Raw genomic sequence first — 23,283 nt, 5'->3', positions numbered from 1 at the left:
AGGTGGAATTAGGACCACATTGGCTGAATCACCCTGAACATTAGTGCAGTGGCAGATGTTGTATGCAGCTCTTTCTCTCTGCAGTTTATAAGCAGCTTAGCATCTACTCTAAGAGATTACAATCTCAGTGGGGGATCCAGACATGTGAAAATGGCTCCAACACATGGCAGGGATCAAGATTAGAAGTAGGTAAAATACAGAAAGGAATCAAAGAAGAAAGAATGGTCAGAGAAGGTTTCATTCAGCCAGGTTTTGCAGGTTGAGAAGAATTTCAAAAAATGAGAATAGGCAAGAAAAAGCCTAGAGGAGGAAACAGTATGAGCAAAGTAATGGAGGCAAACAAGTAGAAGGTGAAGTCAGGAAGAAATCCATTATCTGGTATGGTATTATCAGGGGCATATAATAGTATGTTTTTGGAAGAACATCATAAGATGAATTGGGGAAACATGGAGGAGGGAACTAATTTTGTTTTCCACTGAAGGAAACTTCTGATCCACATGAAATTCCAGTACCATGTTTATTGAAAGGCACTAATTTCCTCCTTCACTTCTATCATCATTGTCATTGTTATCATAATCACAAGTATTAAATCTTATTCATGTGTAGCTTTTTACTGTTTCTCATTCACAACTTCATTACATCTTTAAAACCTCATCACTGGCCGGGTGCGGTGGCTCACGCCTGTAATCCCAGCACTTTGGGAGGCCGAGGCAGGCAGATCATGAGGTCAGAAGATCAAGACCATCCTGGCTAACATGGTGAACCCCGTCTCTACTAAAAATACAAAAAATTAGCCGGGCGCGGTGGCGGGCGCCTGTAGTCCCAGCTACTCGGGAGGCTGAGGCAGGAGAATGGCATGAACTCGGGAGGTGGAGCTTGCAGTGAGCCTAGATCACGCCACTGCACTCCAGCCTGGGCTACAGAGGAGACTCCGTCTCAAAAAAAAAAAAAAAAAAAAAAGAAAAAACCTCATCACCAAGTTGATGGCATGGCTTTGGTAGAGAGTAAGAAAAACTGCAACTAATGCTGGCTTAAATAGTAAAAGGGATATATTTGTTCAAATTATTGTTAAGGTAATGTTGGCTTTAGGCAATGACTTGGTGATGTGATAGGGATTTGATTTCTTTTGGTTTCTCTGTGTTGATCTCCTTGGGGTCAGCTTTATCCTAAGGCCTGTTTCCTTTAGGAGACTAAGCTGTTGCTTTCTGGGCTACATACTATTTACATTCTTCCCCCTTCAAATCTGGCAAAGAGGGCATTTTCACCTCAGTATTTCTGCAGAAGCACTGAGACTCGGTCTAGTTAGACAACGGTAAGTTCTCTACCCACCCTTGAATCAACCACTCTGGCTAAGGAGATGGAATGTGTTGACTGACTTAGCTTGGGTCACATGCTCCAACCCAGAGCTGAGAGTGGAGTCAACCTCTGAGAAATCACATACTTCCCCAAATGGGAATTGAGATTTTTCAGGAAGGAGGAAATGAGGTAGAGATGAGTAGGATGAATGCTAAAGTAAGAGGCAACTGAAGAGTATGCTATGCAAAAATATAGGTACTTTTATTTCCCTTTCACAGCTGAGGAAATGGAGGTTCATAGTACTGTTAGTTCCACAAAGATGGAAATAGTTCCCTAAGATCATATACATCATGTGAAAAAAAAGAACTAAATGTATTATCATGGGACTCCAGAAGATAAAGGGATGTTACTATCCCTTTGGATAGACAGGACAGACAGATGTCATGGGCTGTGACCCTGAGCAAGTTATTTAATTCTCCTCCTCCTCTTCCTCCTCCTCCTCCTTCTTTATTTTGCTGGAAAATAGAGATAATAGTGGCACTTACTTCATGGTGTTATTGAGAGGAATAAGTCAGACATTTGCAAATATGAGTGACCAGATGCTCTTTTGTTCATTATAGTTTTAGCCCCCACAGCACCCAAGGAAGATGAAGTTCCTGAGGCTCAGTATGGTTATTGGCCATAGGAAAAAAAAACAAACCACTATCTTGTGAGTCCAAGCCTTACCCACCCTATTTTCACTGTACTGTACACTTAATGAGATCCCTAGCTCTCAGTATGAACGCCTTGCATTTAACAGGAATCACACTGAGGGAACTACACATGCAAATTATTATTAGCAGGAAAACAGGTAATTTTTTTTTTTTTACATTTGCATCATCTCAGATGATCTTTGTGTTAGACATTCTTTAGCAAAGAATGACTGACTGAACTAAAGGGCTTGTGCCTCATTCAGACGGTCATTAATTCTAAATAAGAAATTCATTTCCTGTCACTCATGTTGCTTAAACAATGCAAAGCAGAGAGTGGCTACAGAGCAATCTGTAAGGGCTGGGATGGAAGCTGGAAACCACCTAGCCCAACCTTATAATTTACAGATGAGGGAAATGAGGGCCAGAACAAGGAAGGTCACACAATTAATTAGTGGCAGAGGCAGAGCGGGGGCTGGAGCCCATTTTCTTTACTTCTATGCCAGAGTCTTGCCATGAAACCATGAATGTGATCATCTGACTCCTGTTTGGTTAGGAACTCCTTGATTGTTAAAAACATACTGGGGGCATGGATAGAGAGACATTTAATGTGATAACGGTTCCAAAATGAAAATATATTAAGAATCCTTCACAAATTCCCTTGTGCTATATTAATTTTATCATGATTATTTTTACAGTGCACTTGTGGGGGCTGGGGGGAATGGGTATCTGTATGTATTGAATGGTCTCATTTGAGTTCTGCCCATGTAAAGGTATGAACTAAAAACATTTTACATTAAAACATCAAATTGCTTATGGTAACCATTGCATAATGAAGGAACACAATGAAGAATTACAGTTCAAATTACTTATCAGGTCTCTTCCATTTTCTAAGTTTTTAAAGTAGAAAATTGCACAGTATAATTACAGTAAGTTAATTTGCATTCATATTACAATTCAATGAGCAATTACATTCTTTTTTATTTTAAAAATATTTTATAAAGTGTGATTTGCATCACTGTGTTTCAAGGGAAGAGTGGTGACTTTTCCCTTGTGAGGTTTTTCTGTGAATTCAATCATGTAGCCCTATACCTTCTGGTATAGAGTTGTGACCTCTTCATTGGCCTTTGGGACAGAAGGGAAGAGAATTATTTGAAATTTGACTCTGGTTTCACAGCTTGTGGACAAGAACTCTTCCAGGAATTACAGAATATCAAGGTTTGGAAGAAGTTGAAAGTCTTACCCTTTCCCCATTCACTTTCACCATCTGAAGCTTGCATTTCTCTATCAAATTCCTGCCAAACCATCATCCAACATCTTTTCATTAACTCCTGTGCCAGGAAATTCTTTTTTTTTTTTTTTTTTGAGACGGAGTCTTGCTCTGTCACCCAAGCTGGAGTGCTGGAGTGCAGTGGTGTGATCTAGGCTCACTGCAAGCTCCGCCTCCCAGGTTCACACCATTCTCCTGCCTCAGCCTCCCAAGTAGCTGGGACTACAGGCAGCCGCCACCACATCCGGGTAATTTTTTGTATTTTTTAGTAGAGACGGGGTTCACCATGTTAGCCAGGATGGTCTTGATCTTCTGACCTCATGATCTGCCTGCCTCGGCCTCCCAAAGTGCTGGGATTACAGGCGTGAGCCACCGCACCCAGCCTATGCCAGGAAATTCTTTACCTTCTGGTGGCATCCACTTCATCAATGGACAATGTCTCCATTTTGTAGAGGGTGCATCCATCTTGGTGTAACCATTCTCGCATTAATGGAATTTAAAGGGTACTTGTTAGACATTCATTGCTTTGGCAGTGTCATGCACAACACAGAACATCTTGTTTATATTACGGGTATAACATTTTATTCAGGACTTGCACTATTAGCACAAGTGTCTGGGGTGAGCGATCATAGAATAGTGCCCACAAGGGTTGTAGGGGCTGGTTAGCTGCCCCACTTTGTCTGTGCCTGCTCTTTTGAAATAATTGAAAATTAAGGCAAAATAGACATATTGAAACGCGCAGCTCTTAAGAGTAGTTTGATCCGTCATATGATGATGGTCCTATAAGATTGTAACGGAGCTGAAAAATGTCTCTTGTTATAATGTGGTGCTGCAATGCATACTCACATGTCTGTGGTGATCCTGGTGTAAACAAACTTACTGAGCTAGCTGTCCGTCGTATAAAAGTCTAGCACAGCCGGGCATGGTGGCTCACGCCTGTAATCCCAACACTTTGGGAGGCCGAGGAGGTTGGATCACCTGAGGTCAGGAGTTCGAGACCAGCCTGACTAATACGGTGCAACCCCGTCTCTACTAAAACTACAAAAATTAGCCAGCTTTGGTGGCGGGTGCCTGTAGTCCCAGCTACTCAGGAGGCTGAGACAGGAGAATTGCTTGAACCCGGGAGGCAGAAGTTGCAGTAAGCTGAGATCACACCACTGCACTCCAGCCTGGGCCACAGAGCGAGACTCCATCTCAAAAAAAAAAAAAAAAAAGAAAGAAAAAAAAAGTCTAGCACATACACTTATGTATAGCACATAATATTTAATGCTTATAATAAATGACTATGTTTCTGGACTATATATTTATTATACTCTGATCATTATTTTAAAGTGTACTCTTTCTACTTATATAAAAAAGTTACCTTTAAAACAGCCTTAGGCAGGCCCTTCAAGAGGCATTCCTGAAGAAGACATTGTTATCATAGGAGATAACAGCTCATGCATGTTACTGCCCCTGAAGACCTTCCACTGGGACAAGATGTGGAGGTGGAAGACAGTGATATGGATGCTCCTGGGCCCTGTGTAGGCCTAGGCTCATATGTGTGTTTGTGTCTTTGTTTTTAACAAACAAGTTTAAAAAGTAAAATTAAAAATTTAAAAATAGAAAAAAGCTTATAGACTAAGAAGATAAGGAAAATGTTTATACAGCTTTACAATGTGTTTATGTTTTAAGCTAAGTGTTATTACAAGAGCCAAAAAGTTAAAAAAATTCAAAAGTTTATGAAGTAAAAAAGTTATTACAGTAAGCTAAATTAATGTATTATTTAAGAAGTCAAATTTTGGCTGAGCAAGGTGGCTCACGCCTGTAATCCCAACACCTTGGGAGGCTGAGGCAGTCAGATCACCAGAGCTCAGGAGTTCAAGACCAGCCTGTCCAATGTTGCAAAACCCCATCTCTACTAAAAATACAAAAATTAACCGGGCGTGGTGGCAAGTGCCTGTAGTCCCAGCTACTTGGGAGGCTGAGACAGGAGAATCACTTGAACCTGGGAGACAGAGGCTGCAGTGAGCCGAGATCATGCCACTACGCTCCAGCCTGGGTGACAGAGCGAGACTCTCTCTCAAAAAAAAAAAAAAAAAAAAGAAAAAAAGAAAAGAAAAAGAGAGTCAAGCTTAAAAAATGAATTTAATGTAGCCTGCATATAAAATGTTTATAAAGTCTACAGTAGTGCACAGTAATGTCGTAGGCCTTCACATTCACTCGCCACTTACTCACTGACTCATCCAAGCAATTTCCAGTCCTAAAATCTCCATTCATAGTAAGTGCTCTATATAGGTAGAGCATATTTTATCTTTTATATTGTATTTTTACTGTACATTTTGTATGTTTAGATACATAAATACCATTGTATTATAATTGCCTACAGTATTCAATACAGTAACGTGCATACAGGTTTGTAGCCTAGAATCAATAAGCTATACCATATAGCCTAGGTGTGTAGTAGGCTATATACCATCTGGGTTTGTGTATGTATACTCTGTGATGTTCACACAATGACAAAGCTGCCTAATGACGCATTTCTCAGAGCATATCCCTGTCGTTAAACGGTACAAAACTGTATTTGCTTGTATAACCAACACTACATTAAAGATATGTTTATTCCATTATCCCAGAAAGTTCCTTCTACCCCTTTCCAGGTAACCTATCTCCACTGAGGCAACTAATATTCCAACTTTCACTTGTAGATTTATTTTGCCTGTTCTTGATCCTCATGTGGATGGAATCACAATAATACCCTCTTTGGGGTCTGACTTGTCTTTTTTCACTCAAAATGTTTTGAAGATTTGTCCATATTGCTGCATATGTCAGTAGTGTATTTTATTTCTTGCTTAATAATATTCCACTGTATTAATATTGTACAATTTTTGTATCCATTGTGCTGTGTGTAGACATTTGGATTGTTTCCAGTTTTGACCTATTATGAATAAAATGGATATACATTTTCAAGTATATGTGTGTATATATGTTTTATTTCTCTTGGGTAAATACCTAAAAGTGGAATACCTACAAGTACTCCTGAGTAGGTGGATGTTTAACTTTATAAGAAAGTGCCAGGTAATTTTCCAAAAGGTGATACCATTTTATACTTGTACTAGCATTGTATAAAAAGCTCCACATCCTCATTAATTATTTAATGTTTCAAATGCTTAAATTTTAGCCATCTTAGTGAGTGTGAAGTGGTGTCTTATTACAGTTTTCTTTGCATATTCCTCTGGATCAGTGATATTGAGCATCTCTTCATGTACCTACTTATAGTTTTTTTGTTTTTTTTTTTTTGGTGAGCTGTCAAAGTCTTCCGTTCATTCTAATTAGATTGTCTTTTCACTATTAATTTGAAGAATTTCTTTATTTTTTTGGATTCAAGTCCTTTGTCAGATATATGTGTTGTGAATATTTTCCCCAAGTTTGTGGTTTACCATTAACTTTCTTAATGTTTTCTTTGATCATCAAATATTCTAAACTGTGATAAAGTTCAATTCAGCATTTTCTCATGTTCAGTGATTTTTGTCTCCTCTCTAAGAAACCTGTGCATACCTCTAAATCATGAAGACACTTTCCAAGGTTCTCTTCCAGAACTTTTACCATTTTAGCTTTTATATTTTGTTCTATATACATATGAGGAAGAACTTCATGCTGATTTTTTCCCATATGTTTATGCAGTTGTTTCAGTACCATATTTTAAAGACTTTCCTCAATGAACTGCATTGTCACTTTTCAAAAAAAAATCAAGTGACTGCATTGATCTATTTCTGTATTCTCTATTTTGTCTCATTTGCCAATTACCATAAGGTTTTGATTACTAGAGCTTTCTAGTAAGTCTTGAAATCAGGTAGGATAAACCTTCTAACTTTGTTCTTCTTTCCCAGGATTGTTTTGGCTATTCCAAGTCCCTTTGCATTCTCATGTATATTTTTTAATTTACTTGTCAGTTTTTTCAAAAAGTGTGCTAGGAATTTTATTGGGATTGTGCTGAATGTATACTTCAGTTTGGGAGAAGTGACATCTAATCAATAATGTTTTTCAAACCATGAACATTGTATGTCTCTCCATTTATTTGGATCTTCTTTAGTTGTTTTCATCAAAGTTTTGTAAATTTTGGTGCAGAAAGCTTGCACAACTTTTGTTCAATGTATTTCTGTGTTATTATAAATGATATTTTAAGTTTTCATTTTTCAACTATCTGATCAGCTGTGTAATTTTGGTAAATAATTTAACCTCTCTGAATTTATTTCTAACTTGTAAAATGAAATTTCATGTTTTTCTTAGAACAAAGGCAAGTATAAATATAAATATCTTTCTAGAGTGCTTTACATATTACATTGAATGATATATAGGAAGTGCATATCTGGTATATTAGACAGAAATTTTGGTTGAAAGTGAAAAAGAAATCCAACAACTTGAATTACCTTAAATAATAGAGGGGACATATTGGCTCATATAACAGAAAAATCTGGGGAACAATGGAAGTTGGCTTCTGGCATGGCTAAACCAAAATCCTTTAACAATGTCCTCATAAATCTCAATTTCCCCACCTCTTAGTCCTCTTCTTGTTACCTTAATTTTCAAAAAACTTTTTTCATGGAATGGGTTTCTGTAGCTGTAGGCTTAACAACTTTCCAATTTCTAGTCTAGTAACAAAGGGAAAGCATTTTTTTTCCAGTTGGTCCATCTTTTGATACACAGTTTACCCATCTAACCATCTCTAAATTCTAGTTAAGAAGTGTGTTGCACTGAGTCACCTGTCCAACTCTGGAGCTGGTTTAGGTCTACCAAAATTAAATAGAAAAAAAAAAATTACCAGGTAGAGGACTGGTTTCCCAATGAAATCTAGCTGTTGTTTTAGAAGAAGGAGGAATGGCCCCAGAGAGGCAGACAACACATATCTGTCATGCTTTTAACCTTTAACATAGAGGCTACAAAATATGTGGCAGCTATATCATATGCTATGCTGATTCTTCTCTTTTTCGATACTCTGTAAGCATTGGAAATTCATTCTTTTTTTTTTTTTTTCAGAGTCTTGCTTTGTTGCCCAGGATGGAGTGCGGTGGTGTAATCTCAGCTCACTGCAACCTCCGCCTCCTGGGTTAAAGCAATTCTCCTGCCTCAGCATCCTGAGTAGCTGGGATTACAGGCACACACCATCACACTCAGCTAATTTTTGTATTTTTAGTAGAGACGGGGTTTCACCATATTGGTCAGGCTGCTCTTGAACTCCTGACCTCGTGATCTGCCGGCCTCGGCCTCCCAAAGTGCTGGGATTATAGGCATGAGCCACTGTGCCCGGCCCAGCCATTTTTTATAGCTTTTAGTCTACTCCTATTTTCAGGCACTAATATCACCTTAAGCTCCACTTTATGAGTGAAAAAAATTGGAGGTTTGTATTGAAACGTAAGAGTCCTTTGACAATCACTTTAGCTCTCCACTTTTGTTTCTACTGTGCATTTAGCTAAAGAGAGCAGATTGGTGGCATAAATACAATTGCCAGTGTTGCTGCTGTCCGCTACCCGCTCCTTGGAAAAATGAAAGGAGTGCTATTTATAGCTATTGTAAACCAGAGTCAAGTTTAGTAATGCTGCCACACAACCTTTCGCTGGAATCAAGCAAGGCCGGTATCATGAAAGAAGAGATGTTCTGTTGTGATGAAGCTGCATAGAAATATTTTTTCATTGCTTTTTTTGACCTCAGAAGAGAAACAGCAATTGGACATTTTACTTATGTCCAAGGCATACAAGAGAAGTATCTGAAATGTAGTTAAAACAAGATTTGCAAAATATTTGTTTTCTGTTGTGTGTGTGTGTGTTTTTAAGTGGATCCTTTTGTTTTCACTCTAAATTTCAAAATTCTGATTGTGGCAGATAAGACATTTTGTAATTTGTTCATGCATGCTTCTCTAGAGTCAACTACAGCCACCCTCAGAGGGGAATCTCTTTTTTGCCTTTTTACATTCTGTCTTCTTTTTTTTTGTTTTTCTTTTTTTTTTTTTTGTTTTTGGCCTGAAATACTTTTTCTTGCTTCACCTGGTTATCCAATTATCTTTCAGGATGATGTCACTTCCTTCATGAAGTCCTCTTCACATGCTACCTTGGGTTAAATGCCCCATTTGATGCTCCCTTAGCGTCCTGTACTTGGCATTGTCATAGCGTTCATCTCAGTGTAACATGATTATGCGTTTCCTTCACTTGGCTATGAGTTGTTTCAGGACAAGTTTTTTTTTTTTTTCTTTCTCTGCCAATGCCTAACATTGTGCCTGGTATAGAGTAAACAATCAGTAAACATATTTTTAAAATAAAGGATAGACCTTTCTTATTAAAATATAGAATTTGATTATAAGCATGAACTTTAATAAAAGGGAGAGTGAGAGGATTATAAACCTTTGAAATTGTGCACATTCTGTGTTCGTATACTTTGAGCATATTACATCTCTATTAAGCTTGGTAGGAGTGTTCCTATTGTACTTTATTAAAAATTGTATTAACTGTACCCAGCACTTTGGGAGGCCTAGGCGGGCGGATCACGAGGTCAGGAGATCGAGACCATCCTGGCTAACACGGTGAAACCCCGTCTCTGCTAAAAATACAAAAAAAATTAGCCAGGCATGGTGGCGGGCGCCTGTGGTCCCACCTACTCGGGAGGCTGAGGCAGGAGAATGGCGTGAACCCGGGAGGCGGAGCTTGCAGTGAGCCGAGATGGCGCCACTGCACTCCAGCCTGGGCGACAGAGCAAGACTCCGTCTCAAAAAAAAAAAAAAAATTGTATTAACTTGAGAGCTTTATGTACATAGAAACATTCCTAAATGCCTGGCATGTGCAAGTACTACAAACTATTTAATGAATTGTGGGCTGTGTAATAATTTGTGTTTGAAAAACTTCATTCCACTTACAATATCATCACAAAGGGTAACATATTTAGGAGTAAATTTAACTATCGATGTGAAAGATCTGCACGTTGAAAACTGAAATGTTGATGAAAGAAATTAAAGAAGATACAAATGAATAGAAAGCGATCCCATGCTCATGGAGTAGAATAATTAATGTTGCTAAAGTATCCATACTATCCAAAGCAATTGATAGATTCAATATAATCCCTATAAAATGCTAATTACGTTTTTCACAGAAATAGAAAAAAAATCCTAGAATGTATATGGAACCACAAAAGACTTTGAATATATAAAGCAGTCTTATAAGATAATTACAACCCAGAGGCATCATACTACCTGATTTCAAAGTATATTATAAAGCAATAGTAATCAAAATAGTATGATACTGGAATGAAAACTGACACATAGACCAATGAAACAGAATAGAGGGCCTAGGAATAAATTCACCCATATACCATCAACTAATCTTTGGTAAAGTCACCAAGCATACATAAAGGGGAAAGGATAGTCTTTTCAATAAATGGTGTTGGGAAAACTGCATGTCCACAAGCAAAAGAATGAAATTGAATCCTTATATTATGCCATATATGAAAATCAACTCAAAATGGATTAACGACAGATGGAAGACTTGCAATAATAAAAATCCTAAAAGAAAACACAGAGGAAAAGCTCCTTGGCATTGGTCTTCACAATGATTTTTTGGATATGGCACCAAAAGCATAGGCAACAAAAGTGAAAGTAGACAGGTGGGGCTACATCAAACTCAAAACTTTTTCATAGCAAAGGAAACCATCAAAAAAATGAAAAGGCAACCTACAGAATGGGAGAAAATATTTGCAAGCCATGTATCTGATAAGGGGTTAATACTCAAAATATGTAAGGAATTCATTACAACTCAATAGTAGACAACAAACAACCTTATTTTTAAAACGGGCAAAGGACCTGAATGGACTTTTTTTTGTTAAAGAAGGCATATAAATGGCCAGCAGGCATGTAAAAAGTTGCTTAATATCACGAATCATCAAGGAAATGCAATGAAAACCATAACGAGAGATCACCTCACACTCCTAGCACTTTGGAAGGTGAGGCAGGAGGATCGCATGAAGCCAAAAGTTGAAAATCAGCGTGAAAAACATAGGGAGACCTTGTCCTTACAAAAATTCTTGAAAATTAGCCTGGCATGGTGGCACTTGCCTGTAGTCCCAAGATACTTGGGAGGCTGAAGCAGAAGAGTCCCTTGAATCCAGGACTTTGAGGCTGAACTAAGCAATGATGGTACCACTACACTCCAGAATGGGTGACAGAGTGAGACCCTGTCTCAAAAAAAAAAAAGCAAACAACAACAACAACAAAAAAAATCAAAACAAACAAACAGTTTTTTTGGTTGCTGTTTTTTTTTTTTTTTTTTTGTAAAAGACAAATGTAAGAAGTGTTGGTGCAAATGAAGAGATAAGGGAACCTTTGTACGCTGTTGGTGGGACTGTAAATTGGTATAGCCATTATGGAACAGAATATGAAAGTTCTTCAAAAACTAAAAATAGAACTACCATATGTTCCAGCAATCCCACTTCTGGGTATATATCTGAAGGAATTAAAATTAGTATCTCAAGGAGATATCTGCACTACCATGTTCATTCCAGAATTGTTCACAATAGCCAAGATACGGAACCGCCCTAATGACTGTCAACAGATGCATGGATAAAGAAAATGTGGTATATATGTCTACAATGGAATATTATTCAGTCTTAAAATAGAAGGAAATCCTACCATTGGCGACATCATGAATGAACCTAGGGGACATTTTGTTAAGTGAAATAAGCCAGACATAAAAAGACAAATACTGCATGTTCTCATTTGTATGTGGAATCTAAATCAATCAAACTCATCAAAACCTGAGAATAGAATCATGTTTGTCCAGGGCTAGACAGTGGGGAAAATGGGGGGATTTTGGTTAAAGGGTAAAAACCTTCAGTTATATGATAAATAAGTTCTGGAGATCTAATGTATAGCATGGTGACTATTGTTAATAATTATGCACTATGTACTTGAAATTTTCTAAGAGAGTAGATCTTTTTTTTTTCTGAGATGGAGTTTCACTCTTGTTGCCCAGGCTGGAGTACAATGGTGCGATCTCAGCTCACTGCACCCTCCGCCTCCTGGGTTCAGGTGATTCTCCTGCCTTAGCCTCCTGAGTAGCTGGGATTACAGGCATGAGCCACCACGCCCGGCTAAGTTTTGCATTTTTAGTAGAGACGGGGTTTCACCATGTTGGTCAGGCTGGTCTCAAACTCCTGACCTCAGGTGTTCCACCTGTCCCGGCCTCCCAAAGTGCTGAGATTACAGGTGTGAGCCACCATGCCCTGCCCTAAGAGCGTAGATCTTAACTGTTCTTATCACATGCACAAAATTAGTAACTATGTGAAGGTATGGATATGCTAATTAGCTTAATTGTTCTAATTATTTTACAATGTATATGTATATCAAAACATCATCTTGTACATCTTAAATATATACAATATTGAGGCATTATTTGTCAATTATACTTCAATAAAGCTACAGAAAAAGTAAAATGCCCATAGTTTACAGCATAAAATTTTATTACTCTCTGGCTAATTGAAACAATTGTAGGAATAAACAGAATTAAATAAAATATAATACACAAAATGGGCTTCTTTGCTTCCCTTTCTTTGGAGGAGTAGTAATAGCTAGTAGGACTTACGATTTCTGACATTTGATTTTGATTTCCATGATAGGTCAACCAGCACTTACATAGGCTGCTCCTTTGAGTATCTTGAAAATCATGTGCATAGTTATAAATTATGTAAAGTTCAATAAAACTCCATTTTGCTCATGTGCAGGCTGCTCATGCCTGTGTCTTTTATTAGGTTGACTCCAAGATCCTCAAAGGTAGAATATGTTTCTGATTTATCACCATTATTCCCAATGCCTACCACAGTGCCTGATATACAGAATGGACTCCATAAATGCCTGTCAAATTTAAATGAACTATTTTAGAATTATTCTGGGAAGAGAATCAATGTTTACCAGGTGACTGATTTATTCAGTGCCAGGCATGTCCAATATATTAGGCCGGGCGTGGTGGCTCACGCCTGTAATCCCAGCACTTTGGGAGGCCGAGGCGGGTGGATCATGAGGTCAGGAGATCGAGACCATCCTGGCTAACACAGTGAAACCCCGTCTCTACTAAAAATACAAAAAATTAGCCGGGAGCGGTGGCGGGCTCCTGTAGTCCCAGCTACTTGAGAGGCTGAGGCAGGAGAATGGCGTGAACCCAGGAGGCGGAGCTTGCAGTGAGCCGAGATCGCGCCACTGCACTCCAGCCTGGGCGACAGAGCCAGACGCTGTCTCAAAAAAATATATATATATATATTATCTCATTTAAGGCTCACTGCGATCTCAAGAAGCAAGTGTTATCCACCACCATTGTAGGGTTGAGAATTTTGACGTAGACAGAAGTAACTTGTTAAAGATGAATGAAGCTCATTAAATTCCAAACTCTATACTCTATCCAGTACAATAAGAGTGCCTTCCCCAATGGGCTGCTGTGAAGGTCAAATGAGTTAATATATGGAAAGCATCAGAACTGTGTCTGAAACATAATAAACAATATATACATCTTTGCTGTTCTTATTTTACTGTTTCTCGGGGTAGATGATAAAGAAACGTTCACTGAGATTTTTTTCTTATGCCACACTTAATACAAATGACATTGTTATTTTAAAAGGAACAAAAGAAAAAAACCCCTAATTATTAGGTGACTTATTTCATGACATGTTTAGTACAACAACTTAAAATGTTCCTTTAAGATTTGGTTTAGTTTAACTTGAAAGATCATTGGTGGGTATCTACATGTTATGCCCGGATTTGAGAAAAGCTTTGCTTGTTACCCCTGTTGAATTTCAGGGAAATTTGCCCAGTTTCCGTGGTGGACTTGATTCAACACAGAGCAGAGATAGAGTCTTGTATTTCCATTACTTGGCCAAGTCAGTGTCATTAATTCTCTTCAAAGTCTGTAATCATAATGTCAATAGAAAGCCGAACGAAGTGAAAGGTGGGTGAAGGCGGCAGGTTTTATAAGTAGGGCCTTAAGATGCATGTAGATGGTCTTCATGTTCTAAGCCTATCCTCAAAGCATTGAGAAACTTCAATGTTTTTGGCAGTCAATGAGAATTTAGACCTGTGCCTCCATCATAACAGTTTTTTACCCTCCCTTCCCCTGTTTCGACCATGTCTTCTCAGATTTGTCCCTCTTTCCTCAGTATTGAGTTTAGACTCTTGAGATGTGTCTTCATAGATGAAGAAACTGAAGTTAATCTTAATTGAGTTGCCTGGTAAGCCTGAACTTCCTACACAGTGTAGAAGCATATCTGGTGTCAATTGTCCCCACTTTCTAGAACTTTGGAAAACTTGTAGAGACTTAGGCTAGTTTCTCTGCTCCCCACTCGTAGATTATCTGTCACACCTGGAAGTAGGTAGAAACCGAGTAGTATCAGGGATAGGACCTCCCTCCCACCTTTTTGGAAATTTCATCTGATCAACTCTTCTTGCAAGATTGCATCCTGCTATGACCTTACAAATTGTTCTTGTCTCTATGTAAATTGCTATCTTTTCAGGTGATGCATGACAGCCTCCGTTTGCTCAGGTCTCCATTTGTACGGAAGCTGTTATTATGGAATAAGTTTAATGGGTCGTGAATTTTGTGGAGAAAGGGAGGGTCTCTTGATGACTTTGTATGTACCAGCCCTGGACCTACTGGCTCCACAAGGAGTGCATTAGGCTAAATATTTTTAGCCCATTGACTCTGGAGGTAACAACCCTAAATGCTTCATTAAATTTTCATGGGTGAGTGTCAGAAGCTACGAGAAAAAAAAACACCCCAAAACAGAAAAGCACAAATCCATCACATTATCTTTGTTATTATACAGCTGGAAGACAGGAGTGTAGCCCCAAAAAGAGTAACGGTAAACTTTTTAAGGAAGGGTTGCCTGCCTCTTGCTTTCCTTTTCTGCACCTGGGTCCAACAGGGTGGTTTGTGTGCTGTGCGAATCTACATATTATGCACTTGATTTGATTCACCAGGCTCCTCTCTTCTCCTGCATTTCAGGCCTCTGGAGACAGGTATGCCACACAACAGGAATTTTCTGGAGTTGAATCTAGTCTCAAGGTGGAAGAATTTTCAGAATGACCCAATATTTTCTGCGACTTGGTGTTTCTAGGATCTTTGTGAGCTAGGACCCTAAGCAAGGAGCAACTGACTGTGTACTCGCTGGAGCCGCCTCCCGCACAGCTTCGAATCGGAGGATTGTTTACTCCCAGTCATTCTAAGAGCCGAGTAGGGGAGTCGCGGGGAGTAAGCCGGAGTTAACCGTGGTCTGCGTGCTCTCAGGGGCACGGGTCTCTCCTGAGGACTGACGGAAACTTGACACGTGCCAGCCTTCTCCCTCCCAACTTGCCGAACTTTGCCTGGGAAACCTCAGTCAAAACAGGAGCCGCCGAACCTGCACTGGCGGCTGGGAGCGAGCGCCCCCTCCTGCCAAGGGGCGTGGGGGCAACATGCCCTCGCGGAGACTCCCCTCGTGGTTTCGCCCTTCCTGGCACTCCATATATTTGGGTATGCATATGTTTTCGAGGCTTGGATAAAAGGGTAGATCTTAGAGAAAAATGAGAGAGGCCAGGCGGAGCTGCGTCCAGTGGTGGTGATGGGGGAGAAAACACTGGATACTTTGTGACAACCCCCCTCCCTTACCCTCTCCACGCTGGCGCGGCTGGGGCGGGGACCCCTCGCTCTCGGCTCGTCTCTCCCCCTTCCACGCTGGGATGGAGAGAGAGTGCAGGGGCTCCAGAGGCGCGACTGCAAGCCGCGGCGCCCCCGCTCGCTCGCTCGCTCGCTCGCTCGTTCTTCCACCTCCTCGTCGCCACCGCCACTCGGCTAAGCTCTCGGAGCGCGCTCCGGCTGCGCAGAGAGCGCCCCGGAGGGAGCCGCGAGGCCGGGGCGAGGGGCTCACGGCCCGGCGGCGGCGGCCGGGGAGCTAGCAGGTGAGCGGTGCCGCGGGGCGCCGGGCGGGCGCGGGGGGCGGCGGGGCGGGGGGCCGCGGGAGGAGGCGGGTCCGCGCGGGTGGCGGTCTCCTCCCCCTACTCTGACGCGGGGCCGGTGGCTCCCGGGGAGGATGGACCCAGCTCGGCGCTCGCCCGGGCTTCCCCGGGCTGCAGAGCGCGCCTGAGTGCCGCCGCCCGCCGGGCATGGGGAGCCGCTTCCTGGGCGGCTGCGGCAGCGGAGGAGGATGCTCTGGGCTAGGCGAGGTGAGGCGCGGCGGGGGCGCGCGGCAACCCTTGAGTTCAGCGCCGCAGGTGCCCCGCGAGGACAGGGCGCCGGGGAGCCAGGAGGCTTCGCTGGAGCCCCGGGGCGCGGAGGAGGGCTCCTGGGACGCGCCACTCAGCAGTTTGGCTAGGGGTGCTGGGAGGATGGCGACTGCAGCAGTTTTTCGCCTTCTCCCTCCACTTGCTGGGAGGAAAAGGGCGACTTCTCTTTCTCTGTCCTGCCCCCCATCCCCGCGCCCCTGTCTCCCTACTTCCGACCACGCGCGATCCTGTCTCCAGACTTGTCCACCCCTGACACGCGTCTCTCTCCAAGACCCCCTGCGCCCTCTTTCCTCCTGCGGTCCTGGCTATATCGGACCTCGAGCCTGCCTTCTCCCGCTGTCCTGGGCTCCCGAAACTCCCTCCCTCCCTCGCTGGTGGCCAGACCCTTTTCCTCATTCGGCCGAACCCCGTTCTCACTTCCCTACTCCTCCGTAGCGCTGAGATTCGGCTTCGACCTCTCGAAAAACCGACTCTATCCCAGTAATCCCAGCCCTTTCGCGGGCACCGTGAGAACTGGATCCCGCGTTCCTCGGACCCCGGCCTTTCTTCGGATCCTCTGTGGACTCTGTTCTCTGCCGCTCGTCCCCCTCCATCCACTCCCCAGCACCCCCTCCCCCCACGCCCAGCTAGTCGCCTCCCCAGCCCGCCCCTCTTCCTTCTCTCTGCTCCAGACTCGACGCTCTGACTTGGATGCAGAGAGCTCAGTTTTTTTTTCTACCAAGGAAACTTTAAATCTCTGTGGTTCGGCTCATAAAGCAGGCACACAAGAGGGTGTCAACCGCCGAGAGAACCCAGAGGCAGGGAGTCCGAGATGGGGGGAGGTCGTGTCGCGGCGTCTGAAAGGGGCCACTGGGTGAGTGTACAAAGTAAATTTCAAAACCAGGGTGGCTGCTGCAGCCAGGACCCTGCCTCCGCTGGCTGCGTCCCGAGGAGTATTATTGTGACCCCTGGTGGGAGGGCGCATCTTTTCTCTGCACTTTTTAAGGCGCTTTTTCTTTTCTCTGTTTTTGTTTTTTGGTGGTGCTGGTGGGCCTGATGGGGGGCAGTGGGCACAAGGGATCGCTGCCTGGAGAGGCGGACGCCACTTGGCTGCTCCCAGACCCGCCAGACTGTGTACGTTTCACTCCGTGTGAACTACCCCCAACCCCCAACTGCATCGCACAAATCCTCATTGTTGGGGGTCTGCTGGGGCACTTCCGCTTAGGCTGGGAGAGTCTGAAGGAATGGCGTGGGGGTGGGGAGGCCGGGGGCGCTTGGCTACCGCTCCGCTCTTGGCGGCGGGCGGAGTGGAGAGCGCCGCGACGCGGGCATCTGTGCGCTCCGGTGTGTATGTGTCGCCGAGTCTGGGGTGCGCGCCCGCGTGGGTCGGTGTCTGCGTGTGCGTTTGGATGTCGGCGCACGCCTGTGTTTAGCTCCATTAGAAAGAGGGGCGATGTAGGGCTTGCGGTAGCGAGAGCGCCTTTCTCCGCCTGGGAGCTGGACGGGGGCGAGCCCGGGGGCGAGCCCTCCTGCGAGCTGGATGCTCCAGTGCAGCTCCTAGCCAGCCGGCGGGGACCGGGGCGAGAATCCGCGCCGTCGTTTCTTCCTCCTTCCTGCTCCCTTCCTGCTGGCCGGTTAAATACACTTTAACAGTGTTGATAGTTTTGAATAAAGGCTGTGTGGGGGTTCCACTACACTTTACAACACTTAACGTTTTCAAGTAATCATATCAATTAAATTAAAGGTGGCTTACGTTCAGAACCGCCTAATTATCCAGTTCACGTTGGTACATTTATGTGCCAATTATAGGTCTTTGGGAAATCCATAAAATTACAAACCATCCCCACCCCTTGAATTAGCACCCATTGTTTTTGTGATCTCCGTGATGAGTGATTCTGGATGGCACCGGAACTGCGCAGGCACTAAGATAGATGGGGGTTCGGAGATGTCAGAAGGAGTAGGCACCCCCCCCCGCCACCCCCCCCCCCGCCACCCCCCATCTCTTTCACTCCCTATCCTGACAAGGCTTGGTGACAATTCTGGGAACTGAAAGTGATCAAAGATTTTCTTGATTTCCTATTGAGAAGGGCACCTAATCAAAGCTGTATAAAAGTCAACTTCTAAGCAATCAGAAATTGTCTGCTGATGTCCTTGATTGAAACCCCAGCATTCAAATGGAATATTGAAGAACTCGCAGAAATGTCTTTTGAAGCGCTATTGTTCTTTTCCATACACAAAGGCTCTCTTAAAGGTTTAGGAAGTTCAAAATGCAGTGGTTTGAAAGGACTGACTTTGTAACTATTTGGCAACGCTGGGAGGATCCGCAGGGATGAGAAAAGAGGCCGAAGTGGGAAGTGCAAATATGTTGTGACCATCTTCTTGGGAACGGTGCTGCTATCAAGTAGGAATTCAATTCTACACATCGAGTTGGCAATTAAATCTCTTCCTAAAGCAGATTTAGAAGATGATTTTTAGTAGTTTTTATTTTTTAATGGTTTGCTTGAGGTCTGAATAGGCATATCTGAAACATTTAATCATGTTCATTGTATTCAACGATAAAATCTGAATAAAAATTACTTATTGTTGATGAAGCTCATCTCACAAGCTGTTTCACAGTATGTTTCATTTGCAAGACACACCATTGTGTGAGGCTGCCGGGAAGAGATTGTATCACTTATTGTTCATTTTCTCCTCCCAACCCAGAGAGGAATATTCTTCTTCATTCCCCTTTGCCCTCCAAAGTAATTTTTCTTAAATGGGTGAGTGTTTGGCTTGGTACCTGATAGTACCCATCTAAAAAATTGCATTTGGTAGATTTAGGATGCTTGGAGCCACCCTGCAGGCAGATGAAGAATCTAATGGAGGCAGCATTTCATTTTGATAATTCACTCAAGTCAAACATTTTGTTTTTGCTGGGATTTAATCCTTCTCTCAAACTAATAAAGCAAACAAAGCAAGAAAATCACAGTTTATGTCTCTTAGATGGCACTTTAAAAATAGCATAAATTGAAGGGTATTGTCCGGAACTTTAAATGTTATTTAGGACTTACTGAGACAAAGAATACTCGTGGTTGAGTTAAGCAGTTGAGGATGAATCTCAACTTCCCAGAACCTTGCTTTCATCATCTGCAAAACGGACAATATTACCTACCTTGTGGGTCTTGGAGCAATTTTATGGAGAAAATCATATGATTGGGTGCTTTGGCACATAGCAGGATTTCAAGAGAATGATCTCTTAGTAATAGACAGCATGGAATTCTGTTCAAGAAAGTGGATGGCATTTGGAATTGGAAGACCAGGATTGAATCCAGCTACTTCTGACTTTGTGATGTTTGGCAAGTCACCTTTCATGTTAATAAAAAAGAATAATTAACCTTTATGGAGTACTACTAAGAGTCAGGAATGCTTCTAAGCACTTTACACATATTAACTTATTTAATCTTCAGATAACCCTAGGATGTGGATACTTGTATTCTCATTTGTATTAGCTAGATAAGGAAACTGGGGCACAGGAAGATTTGGTAACTGGCCTGAGATTACATAGCAAGTAAGGGATGGAACTAGGATTTAAACCTAGCCATTCTTGTTCCAGGGTCTGTCCTAACCACTGTTATGCTGCCTCTGAGTGAGGAAGTGATCCCAGCTAGCTCCCAGGGTGTAAAATTTAATGGAGAATAATGAAATAGTAAGACTTCTATAGGAGCAAGCTACATATTTCCCCATTTTTGGATGCTAGCAAACAAAATGGGTGTTACCTTATCATCAACAGGGAGTGGGGCAATGATAGGCACTTTGAACACTTGTGACTCTGTGGCAGTTTCTATCAGGCATTGGTTAGTATTGGTTCACATCTATTTACTCTGTGAAAATGTTTATTAATTAGGTAACAATTAGTAATCAATTAGTAAATAATTGTTTAGGCAATTAGTAACGCAGAAACAGCATTACTGCTTTTCTCAGTTACTAGCTGTGGTAAGCAGAGATTCTCAAACTAAAAGGTGGTATAGCAGGTGGTAAGGAGTCTGGACTTCGTTTCTGGACTGACTGCCTGGCTTCAGATCTCAGCTCTACCAGCTCTGTAAGCTGTGTGGCCTTGGCCAGCTAATCTAACTTCTCTGTGCTTTATAGTTTTCTTTATAATGAAATAACAGTACTTACCTCATAAAATTATGAAGATTACAGGAACTAACACAAAGTGCTTAGAATAATACCTAGCATGTAAAGTTACTTAGCTATTAGTGTTATCTTTCAAATGAGATAAAAACCCATCTCCTAGATAATGAAAAAGTTTTCCATCATTGATATTCTGAGAGTTATGTATCCCAATAGTATCTGGTCTATCTTTAGGAAGAGATACATTTTAGGATTTTAGGCAAAGGTTTTTTTTTTTTTTTTTTAATTGGAAATATTTCCTTACACATTTTGGCTCTTTGTGAAGAGGAGTTGTGGAAGTACACATCATGTTAAAATTTCCATGCCATTTTACTTTTCCGCAGTTATTCTGAGGAAAGTAAAATGACTTTGATTGAATTCTAGAGGTGTGTTTGTCAACTGTCCTAATTTACAGATTGAAAGAATATTAGGCTTGCAGAGATACGTAACTTTACAGCCCAGAGGCGCCATCGCAACTCAGGATTCTTGGACTCCTTGTCCAGTGCTCCTTTCACTAGACCAGATTGTCTCCTATACCAGGATAGAGACGTGGCTTGAAAATATAAATAAAACTTGGCAGAGGAGGTGTTGTCAGGCTAAGAGCATGAGCCAGCTAGACATTCTGTACTGAAAAAAGCATGTCAGTAGGAAAAGAAAACCCCTCCTCTGGTATGTACATTTATATCCATGAAAACTCACACTGAACTGAATCTGTGAAATGCATATCAGGATATAAATTCATGTAAAAAAATGAAAACAACTCATTAATCAAATTAATCACCTGGATATTTCCCTCTGATTGGAGAGCAAATGTTCAGATTTCTTTTTCTTTGACATGTTCTTTTTATTTTTCTTCCATTTAGTTTTGAGATGTGGGAAGGTTTTGGTTGAGGAATCATAAAACTCCTCTGGCATCTATTTTATGAAATATGTAGCATATTCTATTGGAAAGAAATTGCAAGCTTGCTTTTATTATTATTATTTTATTTTATTTGAAGCTGACATATAACCAATCTGCAATGCCAGTGGGGGAGTCTCATAAACAGAAAGGAAAATATAAATAAAATTCTGCTGAATAGAAGAGATGACAGCTAAAATGACGAAAATTTTGTGGTGGTGAAGGCGGGCTGTTTAACTTATGGTATAAAAATAAGGGGATGGGTCCTCCCAAATAGTTGTAAGTAGTTCAGCATGAACCCAAATCGGCCCTCTTGACCACCTGTAGTGAGTCTTGCAAATTACCAACCCCATGCATCTGCTCCGAGCTTCATATTGATTTACAATTTTCTTTGTTGGTCAGTCTCTGCATCTCTTGAATGGACTCATGATTTGTTTACTTGGTATCCATCAATTCAGGTATCTCTTTCTTTGCTCTTTCTCTGTCTCTGTCTTTCCTCGTTTCTATCTGCCTTTGTCACATTCAGTCTTTATGTCTCTTTGTTTTTATTCATGTTAGTGTTGCAACTGAAAATAATTGAAAAGCTGTGAATATGCATTGAGAGAATCTGGGAAATTGAGGAAGAACATTCTGGTCATGCACATAAACATCACTTCTATGTCCATTCAACAAATGTTTACTGAGCACCTACTTTGTGCTTGACTCTGGCTCTGTGCTAGGCATTGTGAAGAGTACCAAGATGCAATTGCACAGTTTGCCATCTAGGGACCTGGTTTCATGCATAAATAACTGTTACAGCAGGAGATGCGCTATGGAAAATATGTATACAGCTGTGGAACCTTCTGGAGGTGGTAATTTACTCTACCTGGAGAAAGGAAAGGCTGGGGGAAGGCTTCATTTCACCTAGGTCTTGAAGGCTGACCAGGAGTTTCTCAAGGCTTAAAGGCAGTTCTGACTGATAGGACTTCATGGACAAAGTCATGCAAGCATGAAGGATGGTTATTGACTTAGGGATGGGCATAATTGGGTACAGAGGTAATGTAGAACATGCATCAAAATGGGTTTTTTTAATAGAGCATTTTCCAAACTGTGTCCCAGGAAACACTAATGTCCCCTAAGATCATTATGAATATTTCAAAAGGAAGAAGGCTCAGAGGGAAAAATAAGTTCCATGTTCAAAAATGTTTGGAAGATATTGAATTATATATCCTGTTCTTAGTAAGATGTGGTATTTACTGATATGTTAAAGGTTCAGAGATTTTCTGCACTAAAGTCATTTAACTCATGAAGAATTTTAAAAATTCATTTGCCATAGAACCTTTGATTTCAAGTAGCATCTCTCAGTGTCTTATGAAATAGATTGGGAAAAATGTAGAGAATCACTTAAGCCTTTTAAGAGTAGTTTTCATTCTATCATGAAAATAATATGTGTGTGATTTGAAATGTAGGACAGAATATTTAACCCATTTATGCCTAGTGTTCCTTTATTGGAATGCTAAGCTTGTGGGCGTTATTTATATCCTACTGCTCAAGGTCATCACCAAAGTCTCATTTTTCACAAAAAACAATTTGCAACCTCTGGCATAAATGGGTTAAGACACACAAAAAGTATAAATAACAATATAATAAAAAGTTTTGTACCTACCACTCAGCTAATGAAATAAAGCCAGTTAAATACAGTTGAAACCTCCTGGTAACCTTTCTCTGATCATACGTCCCCTTCTCTTGGCAGACATAG

At 41.5% G+C, this 23,283-nt stretch overlaps 1 protein-coding gene across 11 annotated transcripts in view; it reads left to right on the top strand.

The window, feature by feature from the left end:
* DAB1 (DAB adaptor protein 1) overlaps positions 1 to 23,283 on the top strand; it is a 1,551,949-nt gene that overhangs the window by 1,106,341 nt on the left and 422,325 nt on the right. For 3 of the 11 annotated variants that reach the window (NM_001353986.2, NM_001365792.1, NM_001365795.2), the window contains exon 1: positions 16,326 to 16,456. The exons of 4 other annotated variants lie outside the window; for them this stretch is intronic. The gene's annotated coding sequence lies outside the window, so the exon portion shown is untranslated. Of the gene's footprint in view, positions 1 to 15,631; positions 15,768 to 16,079; positions 16,193 to 16,325; positions 16,457 to 17,273; positions 17,370 to 23,283 lie in introns of those variants that run through there. 4 more of the 11 variants (NM_001353985.2, NM_001365794.2, NM_001353983.2 and 1 more) reach the window with 3 other exon arrangements.

This window comes from Homo sapiens, chromosome 1 (assembly GCF_000001405.40).
Source record: "Homo sapiens chromosome 1, GRCh38.p14 Primary Assembly".
Classification (NCBI taxonomy): domain Eukaryota; kingdom Metazoa; phylum Chordata; class Mammalia; order Primates; family Hominidae; genus Homo; species Homo sapiens.
Note: the sequence above shows the minus strand (reverse complement) of the source record. Positions and strands in the feature narration are given on the sequence as shown.